General features: G+C 61.1%; 1 protein-coding gene and 1 long non-coding RNA gene across 10 annotated transcripts, besides 7 other annotated features; one reads left to right on the top strand and one right to left on the bottom strand.

Annotated features, from left to right (window-relative positions):
* The first annotated feature begins 156 nt into the window (after nucleotides 1-156).
* On the top strand, nucleotides 157-18458 carry RHBDF1 (rhomboid 5 homolog 1). Of its 9 annotated transcripts, none has more exons than NM_022450.5 (18): nucleotides 3886-4004; nucleotides 11478-11618; nucleotides 11688-11818; nucleotides 12717-12930; nucleotides 13335-13544; nucleotides 13620-13742; nucleotides 13822-13979; nucleotides 14465-14719; nucleotides 14821-14932; nucleotides 15058-15132; nucleotides 15236-15397; nucleotides 15978-16078; nucleotides 16238-16301; nucleotides 16691-16785; nucleotides 17023-17098; nucleotides 17168-17268; nucleotides 17390-17543; nucleotides 17758-18458. In NM_022450.5, the coding sequence occupies exons 2-18, from the start codon at nucleotides 11502-11504 to the stop codon at nucleotides 18175-18177; spliced, it is 2568 nt and encodes an 855-aa protein (NP_071895.3). In that variant the 5' UTR covers nucleotides 3886-4004; nucleotides 11478-11501; the 3' UTR covers nucleotides 18178-18458. The 9 variants fall into 9 exon arrangements, with proteins under 9 accessions (XP_016879045.1, NP_071895.3, XP_047290438.1 ...); XM_047434479.1 differs by lacking the exon at nucleotides 3886-4004 and adding an exon at nucleotides 4314-4991; XM_017023556.2 differs by lacking the exon at nucleotides 3886-4004 and adding an exon at nucleotides 157-264 and having other exon boundaries at nucleotides 11478-11818.
* Nucleotides 1220-2037: an enhancer, noted in NCBI's record as "H3K27ac-H3K4me1 hESC enhancer chr16:124479-125296 (GRCh37/hg19 assembly coordinates)". NCBI's record gives its function as "activates a minimal SCP1, AML or CMV promoter by ChIP-STARR-seq in naive and primed H9 embryonic stem cells {active_cell/tissue: H9 hESC(naive and primed)}" and the evidence as "EXISTENCE:reporter gene assay evidence [ECO:0000049][PMID:30033119]".
* Nucleotides 1527-3690, bottom strand: LOC124903617 (uncharacterized). Its single transcript, XR_007064932.1, has 2 exons — nucleotides 3581-3690; nucleotides 1527-2137 (listed from the first exon to the last, which is right to left on the bottom strand). It is a non-coding gene; the product is annotated as an uncharacterized LOC124903617 (long non-coding RNA).
* Nucleotides 2038-2854: an enhancer, noted in NCBI's record as "H3K27ac-H3K4me1 hESC enhancer chr16:123661-124478 (GRCh37/hg19 assembly coordinates)". NCBI's record gives its function as "activates a minimal SCP1, AML or CMV promoter by ChIP-STARR-seq in primed H9 embryonic stem cells {active_cell/tissue: H9 hESC(primed)}" and the evidence as "EXISTENCE:reporter gene assay evidence [ECO:0000049][PMID:30033119]".
* Nucleotides 2855-3672: an enhancer, noted in NCBI's record as "H3K27ac-H3K4me1 hESC enhancer chr16:122843-123660 (GRCh37/hg19 assembly coordinates)". NCBI's record gives its function as "activates a minimal SCP1, AML or CMV promoter by ChIP-STARR-seq in primed H9 embryonic stem cells {active_cell/tissue: H9 hESC(primed)}" and the evidence as "EXISTENCE:reporter gene assay evidence [ECO:0000049][PMID:30033119]".
* Nucleotides 3827-3886: a silencer, noted in NCBI's record as "silent region_6899". NCBI's record gives its function as "represses an Ori minimal core promoter by ATAC-STARR-seq in GM12878 lymphoblastoid cells {active_cell/tissue: GM12878}" and the evidence as "EXISTENCE:reporter gene assay evidence [ECO:0000049][PMID:35858748]".
* Nucleotides 4133-4316: a silencer, noted in NCBI's record as "fragment chr16:122199-122382 (GRCh37/hg19 assembly coordinates)". NCBI's record gives its function as "represses an EF-1alpha promoter that drives an FKBP-Casp9 reporter gene in an ReSE screen in K562 erythroleukemia cells {active_cell/tissue: K562}" and the evidence as "EXISTENCE:reporter gene assay evidence [ECO:0000049][PMID:32094911]".
* Nucleotides 5309-6126: an enhancer, noted in NCBI's record as "H3K27ac-H3K4me1 hESC enhancer chr16:120389-121206 (GRCh37/hg19 assembly coordinates)". NCBI's record gives its function as "activates a minimal SCP1, AML or CMV promoter by ChIP-STARR-seq in primed H9 embryonic stem cells {active_cell/tissue: H9 hESC(primed)}" and the evidence as "EXISTENCE:reporter gene assay evidence [ECO:0000049][PMID:30033119]".
* Nucleotides 10448-10547: an enhancer, noted in NCBI's record as "active region_10199". NCBI's record gives its function as "activates an Ori minimal core promoter by ATAC-STARR-seq in GM12878 lymphoblastoid cells {active_cell/tissue: GM12878}" and the evidence as "EXISTENCE:reporter gene assay evidence [ECO:0000049][PMID:35858748]".

Below are 18826 nucleotides of genomic sequence, written 5' to 3'. Positions count from 1 at the left end.
GAGGAAAGAGAATCACTTGGAGAGCAGATTGGCCCCTGCCCCAGGAGGTGGAGAGGCCGGCACCGGGGCGCCAGCAACCAACTTCTCCAGATGTTCTGGACTGAGTGCTGGGGGTTGCGCAATCTCTGGGCACTCCCCCCCCCCACTTCCTGGTTTGTGGTCTCATGCTCCCACCACAGGCTGGAAGCGGTGGGATGAGAGTTCCAACTGTGGCCTGCAGAGTGGGCTGGCGGGCTGGTCCAGGACAAGAGAAAGTGGTGCCAGGTGAGAGGAGGGGGCCTGGGGCTTCCTCTGTCCCCAGTTTGTCCCACTGCTGGGCTGGAACAGGCTTGTTGGAGGAGGCAAGGATATCAGTGGAAGATGGAGATGAGAACACCCTTGAGGCTTTGAAAGGAGTGAAGGCTAGTATTGGTGCTGGGGTGAGCAGCCCTGACCCCCGACCTCCACAATAGGCCACAGGCTGTGGAGGGGCTGGAGCTGCCTCCAGCTGTAGGAGGTGTGGCCATCAGTCGCTGGAGCCTTTATAAACAAGTCTTTGAGAGATGTGGCTGTATTGGCTACAGGGGCCAGGGTTCTAGTATCAGCCTTATGACCCCAGGGTGCCCAGCACACTGGCTCCGTCTTCTCTCTGATGGAGGGGGGTGCTGACAGCTGTTGAGGTGGGTGTCAGGTCAGAGCCCATGGACTCCTCTACACAGCTTTGAGCTGGCAGCTTCCCAGCAGGGTGGCTGCTGGCCTCTTGACTGGTCTCTGCGGCCATCTGTGTCTGATGAGCCCTGGAGGGCCAAAGCTTCCTTGGGCAGAGAAGGCAGCCACTGGGCAGGCCGAGGTTGGGTGTGTGTGAGCTACATCCTCCCTGCCTGGGGCTGTGCTGCCAGGCCCTGGGCCCAGGTGCTTATGGGAACCCCTTGCCAAACCCTGGGATATGGGGAGGGGGCAGCTGCCTCAGAAATAGCCTATGACTTCAGGCCACTGGCTGGCCTGGCCCCCTTCTGCCTCTTCCCCAAATAGCCAGGAGCTGGTCATGGGCCCATCCCTGGAGCCCTGCTCCCCGGGCGGTTTCTTCTGATCCTTCCAGGGACTCCCCAAAGCCCAGGGTCTGACCCCTTGGGTGATTACTTGTGGCCTAGAAGCTGAGCTGAGGATTCTGGGGTAGCAGAGGATTCTGGGGTAGCTGTTGGGAACACTCCTCTTACTGGTCAGGGCTCCCATTCCCTCGTGTCCTGGTGTGAGGGCCACAAACCCTGGGTTTGGTCTAGACCCTAACCCTAACCCATTCTCAGACGCCTGCCCACCAGCCCCGGGAGTGCTGGGCAACTGCAGCTGATTTCCATTTCTCCAGGGTGCATGACGCGGGAAGAGAGGGGCCGGGAGCTGGGTTTCCGTATAGGGGGCTCCTCCACCAGGACAGAGAGTAGTAGGGCAGGCAGGAGGCAGAGCACACATATGTGCACACACTTGTCTATGTGGACTGGGTACAATCCTGAGTTTCGTGCGCGTCCGTGTGAAGAGACCACCAAGCAGGCTTTGTGTGAGCAACAAGGCTGTTTATTTCACCTGGGTGCAGGCGGGCTGAGTCCGAAGAAAAGAGAGTCAGGGAAGGGAGATGGGGTGGGACCGTTTTATAGGGTTTGGGCGGGCAGTGGAAAATTACAGTCAAAGGGGGTTGTTCTGTGGCGGGGAGGAGTGGGGGTCACAAGGTGCCTCAGTGGGGGAGCTTCTGAGCCAGGAGAAGGAATTTCACAAGGTAATGTCATCAGTTAAGGCAGGAACCGGCCATTTTCACTTCTTTTGTGATTCTTCACTTGCTTCATCTGGATGTATACGTGCAGGCTTGGGCTCAGAGGCCTGACACTGAGCACACGTGTATCGACCCCCCTCTGATCATCCTTCTGATGACCTCACTCAGGAGGCCAGGGTGGGCTGAGAGCCTGGGGATTCCTGGACACAGGCTCTGAGCTGGGGATTTGCCTGCAGAGGCAGACTGGGGCATGCTCCCCACTGAAGGTGACTCCTGGGTGCGGGGGGTTTCAGCTCTGAGCCAGCTGTGACTGGTGCTCCTGGCAGCTGGCGATGAGTGTCTGGGTCTTGGAGCGGGTCTAGGTGGGGTCTGACAGAGTCCACTGCAGGAGGAGACCTGCTGACACCAGATGCCCAGCTGTGGCATGCTTTGGAGGCAAGCCCAGTCCCCAGCTTTCCAGAGAGGACACCACTTCTGGCCCTGCCAGCCTAGTCTGGGCATCCAGGCCCGATAGGGCTTGCTTATCCCTGGCAGGTCAATAATGCTAAGCATGGAGACTGTCCTGTCTCTGGCTGTGAGCCTGGCATGGGAGGGGTGGCACGTGCAGGCTATCGGAGCACTGAGTGTTGGCACTGGGGCAGGCTCCCTCTCACCCGGTGTCCGTGATGCACTGGCAGTCATCCCCTGGTGGAGTTACCCTCCACCCCCTCCAAAGCTTCCATTGTCTCCTTCTACATGAGAATTGTGTTGATATTGCTTGTGTTCAGAGAGCACCCATTATGTGCAGGCACCGCCCTATCCCGTGGCATGGACAAGGATATGGGCAGGGGAATCTTGCCCAGGCTCTGGGATCTACCGGTAAGTGTACCAGCACCTTTAGTTCAAATTCTCCCCTTTTCTGTCTAGCCAAGGAGCAGGCCATTGTCTGCGTCGGGCCCTCAAGTGCAACAGCTCAGTTTGGAGAGGGCTGGTGCCACCCAGACCCAGAGGATGGCACTGAAGCAGCAGCACCTTGTGACCAGCACAGGGCCTGAAGACACATTTGTCCGAGGCATGGGGGGGCACCCTGTAGAGGGGTCCTTAGGGACCCATGGGACGAAGGGATCCCTGCACCCTCTATCCAGAGGAAGCCTTGGCCACCCACCACTCAGAGCTCCTGGACAGCCCTGCCCGTACTCTGCTGTTGGCACCCCTGTCCCCCACCCTGGGAGGGTCAGCCCACCCAGTGTCAGGAGAGAAATGCTGGGAAACTCTCACCAGCAGCCCCAGCGGAAAGCAGAGTGCCATTTTGAGTCCAGCCCAGATTGTGCAGGGATATGAGCCCACCCCGGGGTGGCCGCTGAGCTCTGAGACAGTGAGAAGAGCCCAGAGTGGACACCAGACACTGCGCTGCCTCTGCTGAGTGGCTTCGGGTGGGGCCGGTGCAGCCTGGCCTGAGTGCCTGCTGGTGGAGCGGGGCTTCTGGGGGTAGGGGCACAGGGCAGGGGGAGGGGTAATGACTGTGGTCCTGAACTGAGTGTGTGCATCGGTGTGTACACGTGTGTGTGTGCACGTGTATGTACCCATGAAAGATGTACATGAGTAGGTGGGTGCATGTGAGCACGTGCATGTGCAGGCGAATGAACGCATGAAGTGGAAGGATGTGGGGACGTGTGTGTATGATTGTGAGTGATCGGTGCACATGAATGTGTGTGAGGGAATGTGAGTGCTTAGTGGGATTGGGTGAGTGTGGGATACAGGACTTGTCAGCGTGGGCCTCTGGAGGAGGTCGGGTTTAGGGGAGCCAGGGATACACACCCATCCTCCGCCCTTTACCCCGTGCCTGCTCTCCCTCCTCACCCTCTTCTCAGCACAAATCAGGGCAGGACAGCTCAAGCCTCAATCTGGAGCCAGGGAGAGGCGGAGCCGCCCAGCGCTGACACTGCGGTCCGCTCCCACCAGGTCCTCCGTCGGGCCGAGGCGCTGGAGACCCCAGCCCCAGGTGTCCCCGCAGGCGGACCCTGGGGAGAAGGGAGCCCGGCGGCCTTCCGGGAGGAGGTGACTTGGGCCGGGCAGGCGGGCGGCGCGCATTCCTGAGCTCTGAGTCAGCGCGACCGCCCCGCTCCGGCCGGGCCCGCCCCCGGGCGCACGCCCCTCGCTCCAGGGCATTCCCGGGCGGGCCGGACCGGCGGGCGGGCGGGGACTCGGCGCGGGCCCTCCCGGCCAGCGGCGGCAGCCTCCTCCCCGGCGCCCTCAGGACCCCCCAGAGCCCCCGGCGGCGGCAGTGAGTGAGCGCGGCCGGGAGCGCAGGGCTCCGGGGGCGGGCGGGTTCCGGGGCTGCGTCCGGAGGGCGGGGCGAGTCCTCAGCACCCGGGGCCGGAGCTGCTCAGAGCGGCCGGGGCCGTGTCGGGGCCGGGGCCGGGGCCGGGGAGGGGTCGCGGCGAGGCCCCCCCGGGGCGGCCGGGCTTTTCTTCCTGGAGTTTCCCGAGTCGCCCGCGGAGGCGGCCCAGCCCCGGATTCCTAGCCCGGCGCGCCGCAAAAATAGCCCGTGGCCGGATTAGCAGCCCCAGCGGCCTGGCCGGGCGGGACAGCTCGGCTCCAGCCCCCGCCCAACAGCTGAGGGTCCCAGGAGCGGGAGTCTAGAGTCCGGGGGTGCCCCAGGTTCCTCTGAACTCCCCCCGCTGCATTTTCCTTCCCGGCCACGACCGGCGGGTGGTGTCTCCGAGCTGAAACTCCAGCCCAGGGCGGGATGGTCCCTGTCCCGGCTGCCCTCACCGATGGGAATAGCAGGAGCCGTGGAGCTGGGGGTGGGGGACTGACTCCGCCTTCTGCCCCACGACACTGACTCCCCCATCTGTACACTTCGAAGCTCCAGGGTGGGCTGGGAGCGACTCCCGAAGACAGACTCTCACTCTGTGCGCAGAGGCCAACGGGGACAGGCCTTCTCCCGGCTGGGGTGACAGCCAGACCCCAGATGCTCAGGGCATTGGCAGAGGGCCTGGTTGTCTGTCATGCTGGGGGCATGTTTGTGGGGCTGGGCGGGGAATGGGCAGGGGATCTTCCCTGGCCCCCCAGGGCCTGCTTCCGACCGAGGTGGTCCTGACCAGAGTTTCTTCTGTGTGTGCCGCTTGAGATGGTGAATGTGTGTGTCTGTCCCGGTGGGTGGGGCCTAGGTCTGGAGGCCCTTCTCCTATCCTGGGAACTCCCACCCGCCAACGGGACTTCCTGTTGGAGACCGGGAGAAGATTCAAGGATGAAACTGGCTTTTCAGGTTTGACCCAGCTAGATGCCTGGGCAGTCCCAGGCTCGGTTCTCCTCACCCCTGTGGAGCTAACCCCAACCTCCTAGCCCCGACCCCAAGGGTGGGCAGAAGCTGGGGACCAAGCAGCTGGCTGGGGCTCAAGGGGTCCCTGAGGCGGAGCCCCCTGCCACCAGGGGTCATTCTGGGCAAGCCGGGCCCCTTTTCCTGAGAATGGGGCAGGGGCAAATGGAGTGCATGGGAGTCTGGTGGTGCCAGATTGAAGGGGCCTCAGACCCTTTCCCAGCCCTTCCAAGTAGCTTTCACTGGCTGGGTGGCCTCCGTTGCACAAGCAGGCCCCTCAACCAGCACCCCTCATGAGCTGGCCGGTCCCCACCTTGGGGAGCTGACTTTCTAGGGTGCGCTCTTGGTTTAGGGGGAGTCGTCCAGGTCTCCCCTGCCTTTCAGGGACCATCAGGCCCTCCCCTAGGATCTTCCCAGCTACAGTCCCTGCCCAGGGCACCCCCAGTTGCTCTTGGCTGTGAGGGCCTCCGCCACACCGGCTCCAGTTCCCCCACCTCAGTGTCTGTGCCAGGATCACATTTTGCCCAGTGATTGGATTCCTTGGCTTCTGCCTTTTTTTCTGAGTTGGACGATTTTGGGGGTGAGTCCTTCCTTCTTCAACTGAGATGCCCCTGATGGAGCAGGTGGCAAGGGGTCTTAGAAGGGTCTGACAGCCGTCCACAGCCACAAGGCTGAAGAACCCAGGTGGTCTGCCTTGTCTTCTGGGGGTCTGCAGACAGGGTCCCTTCCACTGCAGCTCCTGGGCAGACCTGGCCCAAGGCTTTGAGCTCCCTTATAGGCCCTGGGACCTTAGGCAGTGATGGGCTTCTCTGAGCCTCAGTTTCCTTATCTGTAAGATGGATACAGAGGACCCCTCCCAGGGGTTAGACAGACCAGTGTGATCAGTCAGGATCTGGTTTGAGGAAGCTGAGCCAGGCTGCTGAGGACCGAAGCCATTTCTGCTCTGACTTGGTTTCCCTCCTGTGGCCTCTCTAGTCCTATCCTGCTTCTGGTGGGTCCTGGGAGGGGGTTGCAGGGTTGCTGAGCCCAAGGGTGCCTGGGCACCTGGGTGCATGTGTGTAGGGTCAGTCAGGGACACCTCTGGAGGGCTCTGACTGGTGACTGGGCTGCCCATCTGTCCTCTGGCCAGACGTGTGCAGGGGATGTGGGCCTCTCCCACCTGCAGCCTGGGGAGGGTGTTTTCGCCTAACTCCTGAGACCCAGCTAGACTCCAGACTGGGGACTAGCAGTGACCAGCATACCAGGCAGTTTACCCCCAGAATCTAGTGTAGCTAAGTCCTTGCTGCCATCCCCTTTCTGACTGTGTGGCCTGGACAGGTGCCCTGAGCTGCACTTGGTGTCCCCTGATTCCTGGGTGTGTCTGCCATGTCAGCCCCTGTCAGACCCAACTGAGTCAGGGGTTTAGCTCTGGTGACCCCTGTGCCACATTTGCTAGCTGAGCCTTGGGGCAGTGCCCCCCCCCCTCCTGCCAAGTGCTGGCCCCTTTGTGCACTACCCTCACAGGTCAGGTCCTCAGGGATTCCTGTGTCTACAGGCCCTAGGGCGGCTTCCCTCACAGATGGCCTGTAGCAGGGAACCTCTTGTTCTGTCTCCTTGTCTAGGGTGATGAGGGGAGGCAGGGTGCCAGTCTGTCCTGCTGGGGACCTGGAGAGAACCCTGCAAAGGTCTCAGGCCTGCCCTGCTCCACCCTGAACCTCATTTCTTCCACAGAAAAGAAGAGGCTTCACTGGGAGGGTTGAAGAGCACTTTGGGGTTTGCAAAGGGCCTAGCAAATATCATTCTCAGCATGATGCCATTAATAGACAAGGCAGAGAGGCCAGGTGACTTTCCCTTCATTAATCCAGAAGACCTGGAGGCTGGGCTGCCAGACAGCTGGTGACCCCCTTCTCAAGGGAGATCTAGGATTGAGCTTCAGATTAGGAGTCAAACAGAAGACTGAGGGTCAGAGAGCAGCGTGTGGGTGGGGATGCTGGAGGAGCCACATCCCCCTGGGATGAGGCTCATGTGAGCTGAGGACACGTCTGGGAAGGTGTCCCGGGGTGAGGCCCCTTGCTCCAGCTGACCTCGGCAGCAGGCAGTTCCTTGGGCGGAGCAGAGCCCAGGCTTGATGGTTCTGGCCCCGGGGTTGGCAGTCAACTCCGCCGCCAGTTGTCCCTGCCAGCATGGTCCTGTGAGTGTGCAGGGCAGGCCTGAGTACAGAGGTGGTTGCTGCTCACACCTGAGGATGCAGCTCTCCACTGGCTGTGGCCACTGTCTATGCCTGGACTGGCCAGAGCTTCTCTCTAGTCTCTTCCCAAACTCGACACCTTTGGAGGGTTCTGTCCCCAGGTGTCCCCAGGGCTGCCCTCTTGTTGCATATGCTCTAGGGTCCTTTCACCCCCCAGCTCCTGCCCCTCAGAGAGTGCCAAGTACCCACAGGCTACACCACCCTGTGATGGAGTCAGCCGCTGCTACTGTGCCAGGCACTGCTGTGACCCCTGATTTCCAGATGGGAAAGCTGAGGCTTGCTTAGGGTTGTAGGTGGTGGAGACACATGGGGCCCAAGCATCAGCCTGGGCTGTCCCCAGTGGCCTCCCTGCATCGGCTCCTGCTTTCTGGCTCTCCCTGCACCTGTGCACGCGGCCAGCTTGATGGGTGCCCAGACATCCCCAGAGCAGAAACCTGAGTTAACAGGACTCTCCACCATCCCCCACTCAGCCCTTCCACACCAGGCTCTGCAGGCAGCCAGAGGGGACGTCAGCATGCATGGCGCCAGTGGCTCCCTTGACCCTCCTCGTCCCTCAGCCTCATCGAGAGTCCTGCCCGCAGCCCCCCCAGCTGGTCCTGGGATGCACTGTGGCTTTGGGTGTCTCCTGATGGGGCTGGGCCTGGGCTGGCAGCTGTGAGGCTGCTGCAGTGACTCAGATGCTGTGTGACCCCAGGCAGTGAGGCCTTCCGTGGGCCACGGTTTCCCCATACACTGAGGGGTCAGCGGGGTGGGGGAGACACTGTTTGGATCCCCCCGAGGGGCTTTCTGGGAACAAGAGCCCACTGTGCGCCTGGGGAAGGCCTGGACACTGAGCCACTGTCTCTGGGAGGGCAATGTGCCGCTCCCTGGCCAGACTCTTTGTCCAGCCTGGGCCTGCCCCTCCCCACGCCTACTCCGGCTCTTCCTTTGGAATCCCACCCACTTGAGGCCCAGATGGGGATCTAGGCACACAGGGGTGGGGCAGACCAGAACACCCAGCACTGCCCACCCGCAGGACCTATAACTGTCGGTTCTCAGGTCCCCTCCTGCCTGCACTCCTAGCAGTGGGGGTTTTTGTGGAGGTGGGAACCCCAGGAGACCTGGATGTAGAGGCATGGCGGCTGGTGCCTCCTTCATGAGCTGAGCACTCTGCTGTCTCCTGGGGCCGACTGTGGTCCCCGGCTGAGACAGTCCTGGGGAGGTTCCTGGGGCCGACTGTGGTCCCCGGCTGAGACAGTCCTGGGGAGGTTCCTGGGGCCGGCTGTGGTCCCCGGCCGAAACAGTCCTGGGGAGGTCAGGTTCCCCGTACACGCTCACAGCTCTCGGCTCTTCTCACCCCCTGACTGTTCCTGCTTGCATCCGCTCATGCCAGGCAGCTCGTCTTCCCAGACCCAGCTGAGAGGTCATCTTGAGGAATCCTCCGTTACCCCAGATTAGGGACCCCGATGGCCTGCGTTGTTCAGTGATCAGTGCCTACCCAGCGGTGGCTTCAGAGCAGGCCAGTCCTGAGCACTGTGGAGGCAGCAGTGACAGGACAGTGGCCCATACATATGTGAATGAACTCCTGCCTTGTGCTGTGCCCAGGGATCCAGGCCAAGGACCGCCTTTGGGTAGTAGGGCAGCCTGAGGCTGCAGGTCCTCCCACACAGGGGAGGGTGGGCAGAGCGCATTTGCAGGGCTCTGAGATGGGAGGGAGTCAGGTGTGAGGAGCAGCGGAGAGCAGGAGCCAGGGAAGTCATGGATGTGTGTGAGCCCATCAGCTGGCAACGGTCTCTGTTGGCAAAGGTCACTCACACTCCTGAGTGAAGAACCAGCTGGATGTCGCCTAGTGCTGCTGGGCACAGGTGGAGACTCCTGGAGAGGCTGGCCCCCTGGATTCAGCCTGCTGATTCCTGGCAGTGGCCCCAGTCTCTACGCTGGGCCCTGCTCCTCTCTGGCCCCCATAATGGCCTCACTAAGAGCATTCGTCCATTTTCTGGGTGAGAACATGCTGGGAGTGTACTCAGAATGCTGTCCCAGCACTGTGGGTTCCGGAAGCCCCTTGCCGAGCACCACCTGCCTTCCCAACGTGTCTGATGCTGTCTGAAATTCCACCCTTAGTGTCTGAGACTCAGAGGTGGCCCCTCCTGGCTATTCCTTACCAGCAGGGTGATGGTACTGCAGTCCATATACCCTGTGGAGGGAGGGCTGGGGGACGATGAGGAAGTCTAGCTGTGACCCCTTCACGCTGTGGCTGGGCCGTATCCAGGACACGCAGGTCTGGGCTGGGTTTGGGTCACGAGTCAGATGCAGAGGGGTCTCCTGGTGCAGTTCCCAGAGGGACCTTGACCCACCCAGTTCTCAGTTAGGATGCCTTTCTGTCCGACCCTGTTGCACTCTGGGGCTCTGCATGGGTGAGGGGCCCTGGAGGGATTTCCCAGTGATGTGGAGTTGCTGCCCTTGGCTCGTGCCCCTGATTCCAGGCCAAGTATGGGCCAGGGACAGGAACTCAGCCTTAGGGGGCCATGTGGATGGAATGATCCCTGGGCACCATGCCTGGGGAGTGCCCCAAAGCTTTGCCCCCCAGCTCTCACCTGGGACCTGAAGTGCACAGTCAGCTCAGATAAGGGGCTGGAGCGTGAGGGGTGGGGTAAGAGCCAGCAGAAGGCATCCCTGAAGTACCCCCTCCCACCTGTGTCTGTTCTGGTCCCTGTAGGACCAGTAGGGGCTGTGAGCAGCATTCCCAGCCTTTCCCTGGTAGTACAGGGTCGGAAGGAGCCGTGAGCTCTGTCCCAGGCCTGTCCCTGGCTGGCATAAGACCATTAGGAGCTGTGAGCAGCACCCTGGGCTGTCTCTAATTGTGCTGCCCTCCATATATGACCGTGAGCGAGGCAAGCCTGTGTTTCCTGGCCTCAGTTTCCCTATTTGTACAGCATAGGTGGGGCTTTCCTCCAAGCAGTTGGGAGGGAGACCTGTGAGTGAAAGCCATTTCTGGGGCCTTGGTGGGTGGGTTGCCGACCCAGCGGCTCCGAGCCTGTCAGAGGCTGCAGCTCTTTAAAGAGGCTGAGGAATTTGGGGTTTTCTGTCCAAAATTGCTTCAGCTCTGGCCAGCCCCCCACTATCTGTCTCGTGTCATGCTCAGGGGCCCTTCTCAATCTGGGTCTCCACTGGAATCGCCGTGTGGTCCCCCTGGGTTGGGGACAGCTGCAGGTCTGCCAGGAAGGTGTAAGGGGGAAATGGAGTCGTAGTCATATGGCCAGGCAGTGGTGGCCAGAATCGAACCCTGGCCTATCTGCTCTGGGGCCTTCCGTGGGGCCCTGGCCCCGTGCCTGGCATGTCATGGTAGAGCCAAGCTTGCAATGCCCCGCAGCCCCGGCACCGAGCCGCCTCACTGCTGTTTCTGGGCGCGTGGCGTCACCTGGTGGTCACTACGGTGTCTGCGCCCGGGTGGTTTCTGGAAAGTCATTTGTGCCCAGGAGCCTGGGGCCACTAGCTGCTGCTGTGTCACCCTCTTTCCTGAATGTGGTGACTCTATGCACTGGACCGATCACACACCTCTTGCAGGCTGTCATGTGCATAGTGGGCCCTTTGTCCCTGGAGTGGAAGTCTGGGTGGGTAAGAGGGTGAGGCCTGGTAAGACAGGTGTGAGATTTGCCCTGGGCACAGACTAGGGTGAGCCTCCTGTCACTGAGACCTCAGATCGGCTGTCCCCTGTGTGTGGAAACCCCTGCAACCCCAGCTGTGCTCACTCCCCTCCTTCAAGCCTTTGCTCAGCTGTTACTTCATGGGGAGGCCTCACTGCCTCCTGTCAAGCAACCCTAGTTTGCTTCCCCCGCTCCCATCATACTTAGCATCTTTTAACCAGTACATTCACTCATTTAAAAATATTGTCTAGACTGTAAGCTCCAGGAGGGCAGGGATTTTGTCTCGTTTCTCCACCAATGTGCCTCAAGCACCTAGAGCAGTATCCTGACCATAGTGTGTGCTCAGATAGTTGTCCCATGGACTTATGTTGTCTGAGGACCTAGGCTGTGCCCAGCACTGTCTGCTGGGATGAACAAGGCAGGCACAGAGAAAGTCGGTGCTGAGCACACAGTAGTGCTCTGACAGTGGGGGACATGAGCACCACGGTTGGGCTCATCACTGCTTCTCCCTCCTCCCGGGTCTGGGTGCAATGAATCTTCAGATGTCAGCTTTGTCATTATTGAATAACACACCATGCCCCGCAGGCCTGCCTTGCTCTGCCAGGAACCATGAGTGAGGCCCGCAGGGACAGCACGAGCAGCCTGCAGCGCAAGAAGCCACCCTGGCTAAAGCTGGACATTCCCTCTGCGGTGCCCCTGACGGCAGAAGAGCCCAGCTTCCTGCAGGTAGGCCCTGGCCTGCAGGGACTGTGGGTGCCCCCTGTCCAGTACCCTCACCATGACCCTGTTGCCCAGCCCCTGAGGCGACAGGCTTTCCTGAGGAGTGTGAGTATGCCAGCCGAGACAGCCCACATCTCTTCACCCCACCATGAGCTCCGGCGGCCGGTGCTGCAACGCCAGACGTCCATCACACAGACCATCCGCAGGTACCAACACCGCCCAGCTGCTCCATGGGGTGGGAGCTGGGGGCTGGTGGGGCAGAGGCAGGTACACAGAGGATGGAAATGAGAACAAGGGCCCTCTTGTTTCAGCTTCCTCCTCCATCTCGGTCCCCACCATCCCCTTGCCCTCCTCCTGTTCTGGATACTGACCGCTCTCACCCCACTACCCTGCTCCACTCCCTTCTCTTCAGCACTCACTCTCTCCTTCTCTGTCTCCACCGCCCGGATGCTCTTGCCTCTTAGCAGCCGACAAGTACGCTTCGGGCGTGTCCACACTCTGCCCCTCTTGGGTCCCCGGGCTGCCCGCAGGGCCTTCCCACAGCGCCAGTCTCTCTCTTGGTCCCTGCTCAGGTATCTCATACAGGTCATGAGTGTGTTGGTGTTTTCTGGCATGTGCTTGGCATGTGACCTCTTGGGAGCTGCCAGTGTGGTTGGCATTCCCTGGGGCTCCTAACGGCAGGTGCTGGCAGTGTTTTTGTTTGCATGTCCAAGTGCTGTGGACAGCCTGCCTGGGCCCGTAAGCACCTGCTGTCTGAGCTCTGTGGTGTCCTGGGGCCAAGCTCTCTCGGGTTGAGCTCTCAGCTCCTTCTCTGGACTCAGTGCCTCCCCTCAACTGCCCCTCAGGGATGGTGGGGTGAGGGCCTCTATGAAGCACTCAACCGGGCAAGGCCAGCTGCGGTCTAGTGGAAACTTGGAGTTGGCTAACAGTTCAGGGGGTGGCTGGAACCCACTCATCCTCTTATTAGACCTTGCCCACTCAGACCCTGGTCCCTGGAGTGACTACAGGCCTGGGGGCAGCATGCTGCCCCGGAGGAGGGCCTTTGAAGTCCCCTGCCTGGGAGGGGCGATCTGGCCGCCCCTTGCTGAGTCCCTGCCATGCCAGGGGGACCGCCGACTGGTTTGGAGTGAGCAAGGACAGTGACAGCACCCAGAAATGGCAGCGCAAGAGCATCCGTCACTGCAGCCAGCGCTACGGGAAGCTGAAGCCCCAGGTCCTCCGGGAGCTGGACCTGCCCAGCCAGGACAACGTGTCGCTGACCAGCACCGAGACGCCACCCCCACTCTACGTGGGGCCATGCCAGCTGGGCATGCAGAAGGTATGCCTGCCTGTTGCTGCCTCCTGCAGGCCCCTCCTTCCGCTCTCAGGGGCTGGGGCTGCGGACACAGCCAGCCTGAGCAGAAGGGACTCTCTGGGAGCTCACAGTCTGGAAGGGCAGTCAGACAGCCTGCTCGTGAAGGCACCTGAAACAGTCTCTGGGAAGGGGTACCTTGGGATGGGGACATGGTCTTGGGATTGCACCAGGGGGCCAGTGTCTGGATGGGAGAGCATTCCAGGCAGGACCTCTAGGTGCTGTGGGGTGGGAGTGGTGGCCATAGAGCTGTCCAGGGGCCCGTGAGGAGTCAGGAGCAGCAGTCACGCTGTCTTTGCAAGGCCTCTGTGCCTCTGGGTGAGCTAGGAGCCCCCATGGTCCTGACTCCAGCATCTCCTCCCCTCCTCCAGATCATAGACCCCCTGGCCCGTGGCCGTGCCTTCCGTGTGGCAGATGACACTGCGGAAGGCCTGAGTGCCCCACACACTCCCGTCACGCCGGGTGCTGCCTCCCTCTGCTCCTTCTCCAGCTCCCGCTCAGGTTTCCACCGGCTCCCGCGGCGGCGCAAGCGAGAGTCGGTGGCCAAGATGAGCTTCCGGGCGGCCGCAGCGCTGATGAAAGTGGGTGCAGGGGCCAAAGGCGGGGTTGGGGGCCGACCCAGCAGCCGGGTCTCATGCTCACTTCCCCGTCCCCAGGGCCGCTCCGTTAGGGATGGCACCTTTCGCCGGGCACAGCGTCGAAGCTTCACTCCAGCTAGCTTTCTGGAGGAGGACACAACTGATTTCCCCGATGAGCTGGACACATCCTTCTTTGCCCGGGTAAGAAGTGCCCGGGGTGTCCCCCCACCCCACGTTCCCTTCCTGCCTGTGTCCACCCTGACCTCATGTGTTTGCTCAGGAAGGTATCCTCCATGAAGAGCTGTCCACATACCCGGATGAAGTTTTCGAGTCCCCATCGGAGGCAGCGCTAAAGGACTGGGAGAAGGCACCGGAGCAGGCGGACCTCACCGGCGGGGCCCTGGACCGCAGCGAGCTTGAGCGCAGCCACCTGATGCTGTGAGTGCGGCAGGCAGGGAAGAGGGGCAGAGAGAGACCCCGGGGCCCGTCAGGAACAGCTGGGCGAGTATCGGCATTCACCTCTGTGGGCGATGGAAGGGGTAGCCTCAGGGACTGGGAACTCACTACTCACTGGGCCACCAGGGGTGGGAGACGCAGAGCTGGGCATGGCCCCAGTCTCATGGCTTGCCTGTGGAATGGGACAGCAATCTTAGAACCCAGGGGCTGGGCAGAATCCAACGGGGAGGCGGAGGTGACAGAGGTGATACTTGCTGAGTTGCAGAAGTCAGTGTGTCCCCGTTCCAGCTCCCTGCCATCCCCGGAGGCCCGCAGTGTTGCTTTTTTACTGGCAAGGAGAAGGCAGATGCCGGGCGACTTGCGCAGTATATTCGCCAGGATAGAGACAGGGTGCCCTGGTGCCCCCCGGGGAGGGACTGCAGCAGTTTGCGGGGCTGGGGCGGGAGGTGAATGCCGGCTCCCTCCAGGCCCTTGGAGCGAGGCTGGCGGAAGCAGAAGGAGGGCGCCGCAGCCCCGCAGCCCAAGGTGCGGCTCCGACAGGAGGTGGTGAGCACCGCGGGGCCGCGACGGGGCCAGCGTATCGCGGTGCCGGTGCGCAAGCTCTTCGCCCGGGAGAAGCGGCCGTATGGGCTGGGCATGGTGGGACGGCTCACCAACCGCACCTACCGCAAGCGCATCGACAGCTTCGTCAAGCGCCAGATCGAGGACATGGACGACCACAGGTAGGCGTGGCAGGCAAGGCCTGGGTTGGGATGGAGGCTCCCGGGGGAGGGTGGGGGCTCCGGGTCGGGGATGAGGCCCCCGCTGACGCTCCACCCCGCAGGCCCTTCTTCACCTACTGGCTTACCTTCGTGCACTCGCTCGTCACCATCCTAGCCGTGTGCATCTATGGCATCGCGCCCGTGGGCTTCTCGCAGCATGAGACGGTGGACTCGGTGAGCCCCTGTGCCTTCCCTGGGCCCAGACGAGTGGAGTCCGGGCACTGGACCCCCTCCCGACCCGCTCTGGGAGGAGAGGGCCAGAGTCGGGGCCCGTCTGATCCCGCTCCCCAACCTCCCAGGTGCTGCGGAACCGCGGGGTCTACGAGAACGTCAAGTACGTGCAGCAGGAGAACTTCTGGATCGGGCCCAGCTCGGTGAGGACGGGGCTGGGGGCGGGGCCGGCGGGGGCGGGACCTGGAGGTGCCCGGCGGGGGCAGGAGGCCCCGGACTGCGGCCGCTCGTCTCCCTCGCCCGCAGGAGGCCCTCATCCACCTGGGCGCCAAGTTTTCGCCCTGCATGCGCCAGGACCCGCAGGTGCACAGCTTCATTCGCTCGGCGCGCGAGCGCGAGAAGCACTCCGCCTGCTGCGTGCGCAACGACAGGTCGGGCTGCGTGCAGACCTCGGAGGAGGAGTGCTCGGTGCGTTTCCCCGCCCGGGACTCCCGCCTTCGTCTGCCCGGTGTTCGCTCTTCAGACCTCAGATAGACTCGGCAGAGTGATCCTTCGCCCTCGTTCCTGGCACATCCCGCCGTCCTTACGCGCAAGGCCTTGTCATATTCATTCCTCCTCATCCCCACCCTCCCCCATCTCCAGCTCCTCGCCCCGTAGACCATCATCTGATTTGGTCTTTTGATTTGGGTGTACTCTTCCAGCATGTGTCTTAAAGCTTACATAAGTGGTATTTGCCTCTTTTCCACTAAGCAATTTTTAAAAAAATTCATCCCAACTTTCATCACATCATCTTATGTGGAAGTGCCGTAGTCCATACCAGTTCCCTGATTTAGGACACAGAGGTTGTTTCTGATTTTCAGCTAACAGGAATTATGCCGTCAAACTCCTTGTAAGAGTCTTTTCCAACATGCACGTGCATCTCAAGAGTGGGGGTGACTTGTAGAAGCGGAGGGAAGAGCTCAGTGGTTTTGCCTTCGACTCCTGACTCCCTGCGTGCCCCTCATTGCCCTGACCCAACTGGACCTGACCCTGTGTCCCCCTCCCACAGTCCACGCTGGCAGTGTGGGTGAAGTGGCCCATCCATCCCAGCGCCCCAGAGCTTGCGGGCCACAAGAGACAGTTTGGCTCTGTCTGCCACCAGGATCCCAGGTTAGTCCTGCCGGCAGCTCTCTCACCTGCCTTTGTCCACACCTTCCCCGGGGGCTGTGGTGCAGAGGGTGTAGGGGCTCCTCTTGTTGGCGACTTGGCTGGAAGGGTGCCAATGCTAGGGGCTCGAAGCCGGTCTGACCACATACTTGGCTCATGCAGGGTGTGTGATGAGCCCTCCTCCGAAGACCCTCATGAGTGGCCAGAAGACATCACCAAGTGGCCGGTGAGCTGCAGTGGGGGGGTTGTTAGGGAGCCCTCCGTGTCATGTGGGAGAGAATGCCACACCCCACCCACTGGTGATACCAGAGATTCCCATCATGGGACCACCTCACGTTTTCAGAGGCTGTGCACCTGCCCTTTGTACAGCCTGTCCATCAACCAGCGCCTGCCCCTCTGAGCAAGTAGATCAAGAGAACTAGATGGAGACTTGAAAGGTCAAGTGACATTATTCCAGTTTGATAGAGACTCAGTGTGGTGGCCTGCTTGAAGTCAAGGAAGCCACACCGTTTTCTGCTTTATGAGCCCACCCATCTTTGCCTCTACCCCCAAACGTGGTGTGGGGCCAAAGGTTGGGGGAGGCCCTGACTCAGCTCGTCCTCATTTGTGACCCAGATCTGCACCAAAAACAGCGCTGGGAACCACACCAACCATCCCCACATGGACTGTGTCATCACAGGACGGCCCTGCTGCATTGGCACCAAGGGCAGGTACGTGTGCGTGCCAGCGAGTGCAGCTGGTCTCTGGGCTCAGAGCATCGCCCTAGGGTGTGCCTTCTCCCTAACCAAATCCTGAAATAAGCCAGTATACCAAGGATGTGGGGTTAGAGGGGGTCTGGACTTCCTTGGGGCCAACAAAGGTGGGTAGGTGCGGCTGAAACTCGCCCTGGATGCCAGCAATCCCCCTCTGCAAGGCAGCAGTCTCCGAACCCTGGCCTGCCTTTCTAGGTGTGAGATCACCTCCCGGGAGTACTGTGACTTCATGAGGGGCTACTTCCATGAGGAGGCCACGCTCTGCTCTCAGGTAGGTCTGCAGAGTGTCCGTCGTTCCCCTCCCCCAGCTACTGTGATGCTGATATGCTGCTCTGCGCAGGTGCACTGCATGGATGATGTGTGTGGGCTCCTGCCTTTTCTCAACCCCGAGGTGCCTGACCAGTTCTACCGCCTGTGGCTATCCCTCTTCCTGCACGCCGGGCAAGTGACACTGTGGGCCGGGTCGGGGGTCTCAGGGCCCTCAGGATTGGCTGGCTGGGGGTGGCAGAAAGGTCACTTCCCTGCTGAATGTCTCCCGACCCCCGCCTGCTACTGACTACAGGATCTTGCACTGCCTGGTGTCCATCTGCTTCCAGATGACTGTCCTGCGGGACCTGGAGAAGCTGGCAGGCTGGCACCGCATAGCCATCATCTACCTGCTGAGTGGTGTCACCGGCAACCTGGCCAGTGCCATCTTCCTGCCATACCGAGCAGAGGTAAGGCTGGCCCTCAGGGTGGGGATCCTCCCGTGTGCACCTGCAGCCTGCTGTGAACCTGTCCATATCGAGCACTGAGTCTGGGAGCATCTCCAGTTGGATCCTCGGTCCCAATATGCTCTGGGCCATGGGAAGTGGGGCAGAAAGATGAGGCCTTGGGTCCAGGGGGCCTGCCCAGCCCCACTGCCTTACAGCTACCCCAACCATCCCCCAGGTGGGTCCTGCTGGCTCCCAGTTCGGCATCCTGGCCTGCCTCTTCGTGGAGCTCTTCCAGAGCTGGCAGATCCTGGCGCGGCCCTGGCGTGCCTTCTTCAAGCTGCTGGCTGTGGTGCTCTTCCTCTTCACCTTTGGGCTGCTGCCGTGGATTGACAACTTTGCCCACATCTCAGGGTTCATCAGTGGCCTCTTCCTCTCCTTCGCCTTCTTGCCCTACATCAGCTTTGGCAAGTTCGACCTGTACCGGAAACGCTGCCAGATCATCATCTTTCAGGTGGTCTTCCTGGGCCTCCTGGCTGGCCTGGTGGTCCTCTTCTACGTCTATCCTGTCCGCTGTGAGTGGTGTGAGTTCCTCACCTGCATCCCCTTCACTGACAAGTTCTGTGAGAAGTACGAACTGGACGCTCAGCTCCACTGAGCTGGCTGCGGGCTCCAGCGGCCGTGTGCTCCAGCAGGCCAGAGCCAGACACGACCTCCCTGAGCCTCACAGGCTTACAGGAGTCACCTGCTCCATGTGGGGACTGGCCTGTTTCCTGAACACAGACCTCTTTCTTGTGCCTTGTTCACTTCTGTTGAACCCCTCGTACTGCCGGGCATTTATTATACTACTTCCTGTCATAACCTTCTAACTTGTTTCTTGACGACCACCTCATGTGGCCAATAAATGGACTGGGAGCGTTTTAGCTGCCATTAACTTGACCAGGGCTTCCCTATCCTTCTTTGTTTCTGGCTGGAAGCTGTGGAGGGAGGTCCTGCAGGCCCCTTGTGGCTGACTCACCCGGGCAGGGAACTGAGTGTCAGATACAGTCACGGGCTCTTTCACTTCCCAGTGAAATCCTTCAGCCAGGCACGTGCACCTTGCTCTTTCTTAGAGTGGCTGGTAGCCGACGCTGGGACAGGGACCTAGGGATGTACTGTCATACCCTCCCCACATGCTGGGAAGCACCCCGCCCCCACCCTTAGCAGCTCCAATTTCCACCCCACACTCCCTCCCTGTCCACCGAACCTGCTGCAGGGAACCCTAAAGGCTGAGGCTGGAGGGCCCACACACAGCTGTGCTATGCTTG

Source organism: Homo sapiens, chromosome 16, assembly GCF_000001405.40.
Source record: "Homo sapiens chromosome 16, GRCh38.p14 Primary Assembly".
In the NCBI taxonomy this organism is placed as follows: domain Eukaryota; kingdom Metazoa; phylum Chordata; class Mammalia; order Primates; family Hominidae; genus Homo; species Homo sapiens.
This window is presented reverse-complemented; position numbering and strand designations above follow the sequence as displayed.

What these genes read in the sequence shown, in the direction of transcription:
- RHBDF1 (XM_047434478.1), top strand. Translation starts at nt 4,854, where the DNA reads ATGGTGAATGTGTGTGTCTGTCCCGGTGGGTGGGGCCTAGGTCTGGAG. An exon ending in CCTCGGAGGAGGAGTGCTCG is followed by an intron (nt 15,398 to 15,977) that starts GTGCGTTTCCCC and finishes CCCCTCCCACAG; the next exon opens with TCCACGCTGGCAGTGTGGGT. An exon ending in AGGCCACGCTCTGCTCTCAG is followed by an intron (nt 17,099 to 17,167) that starts GTAGGTCTGCAG and finishes TGCTCTGCGCAG; the next exon opens with GTGCACTGCATGGATGATGT.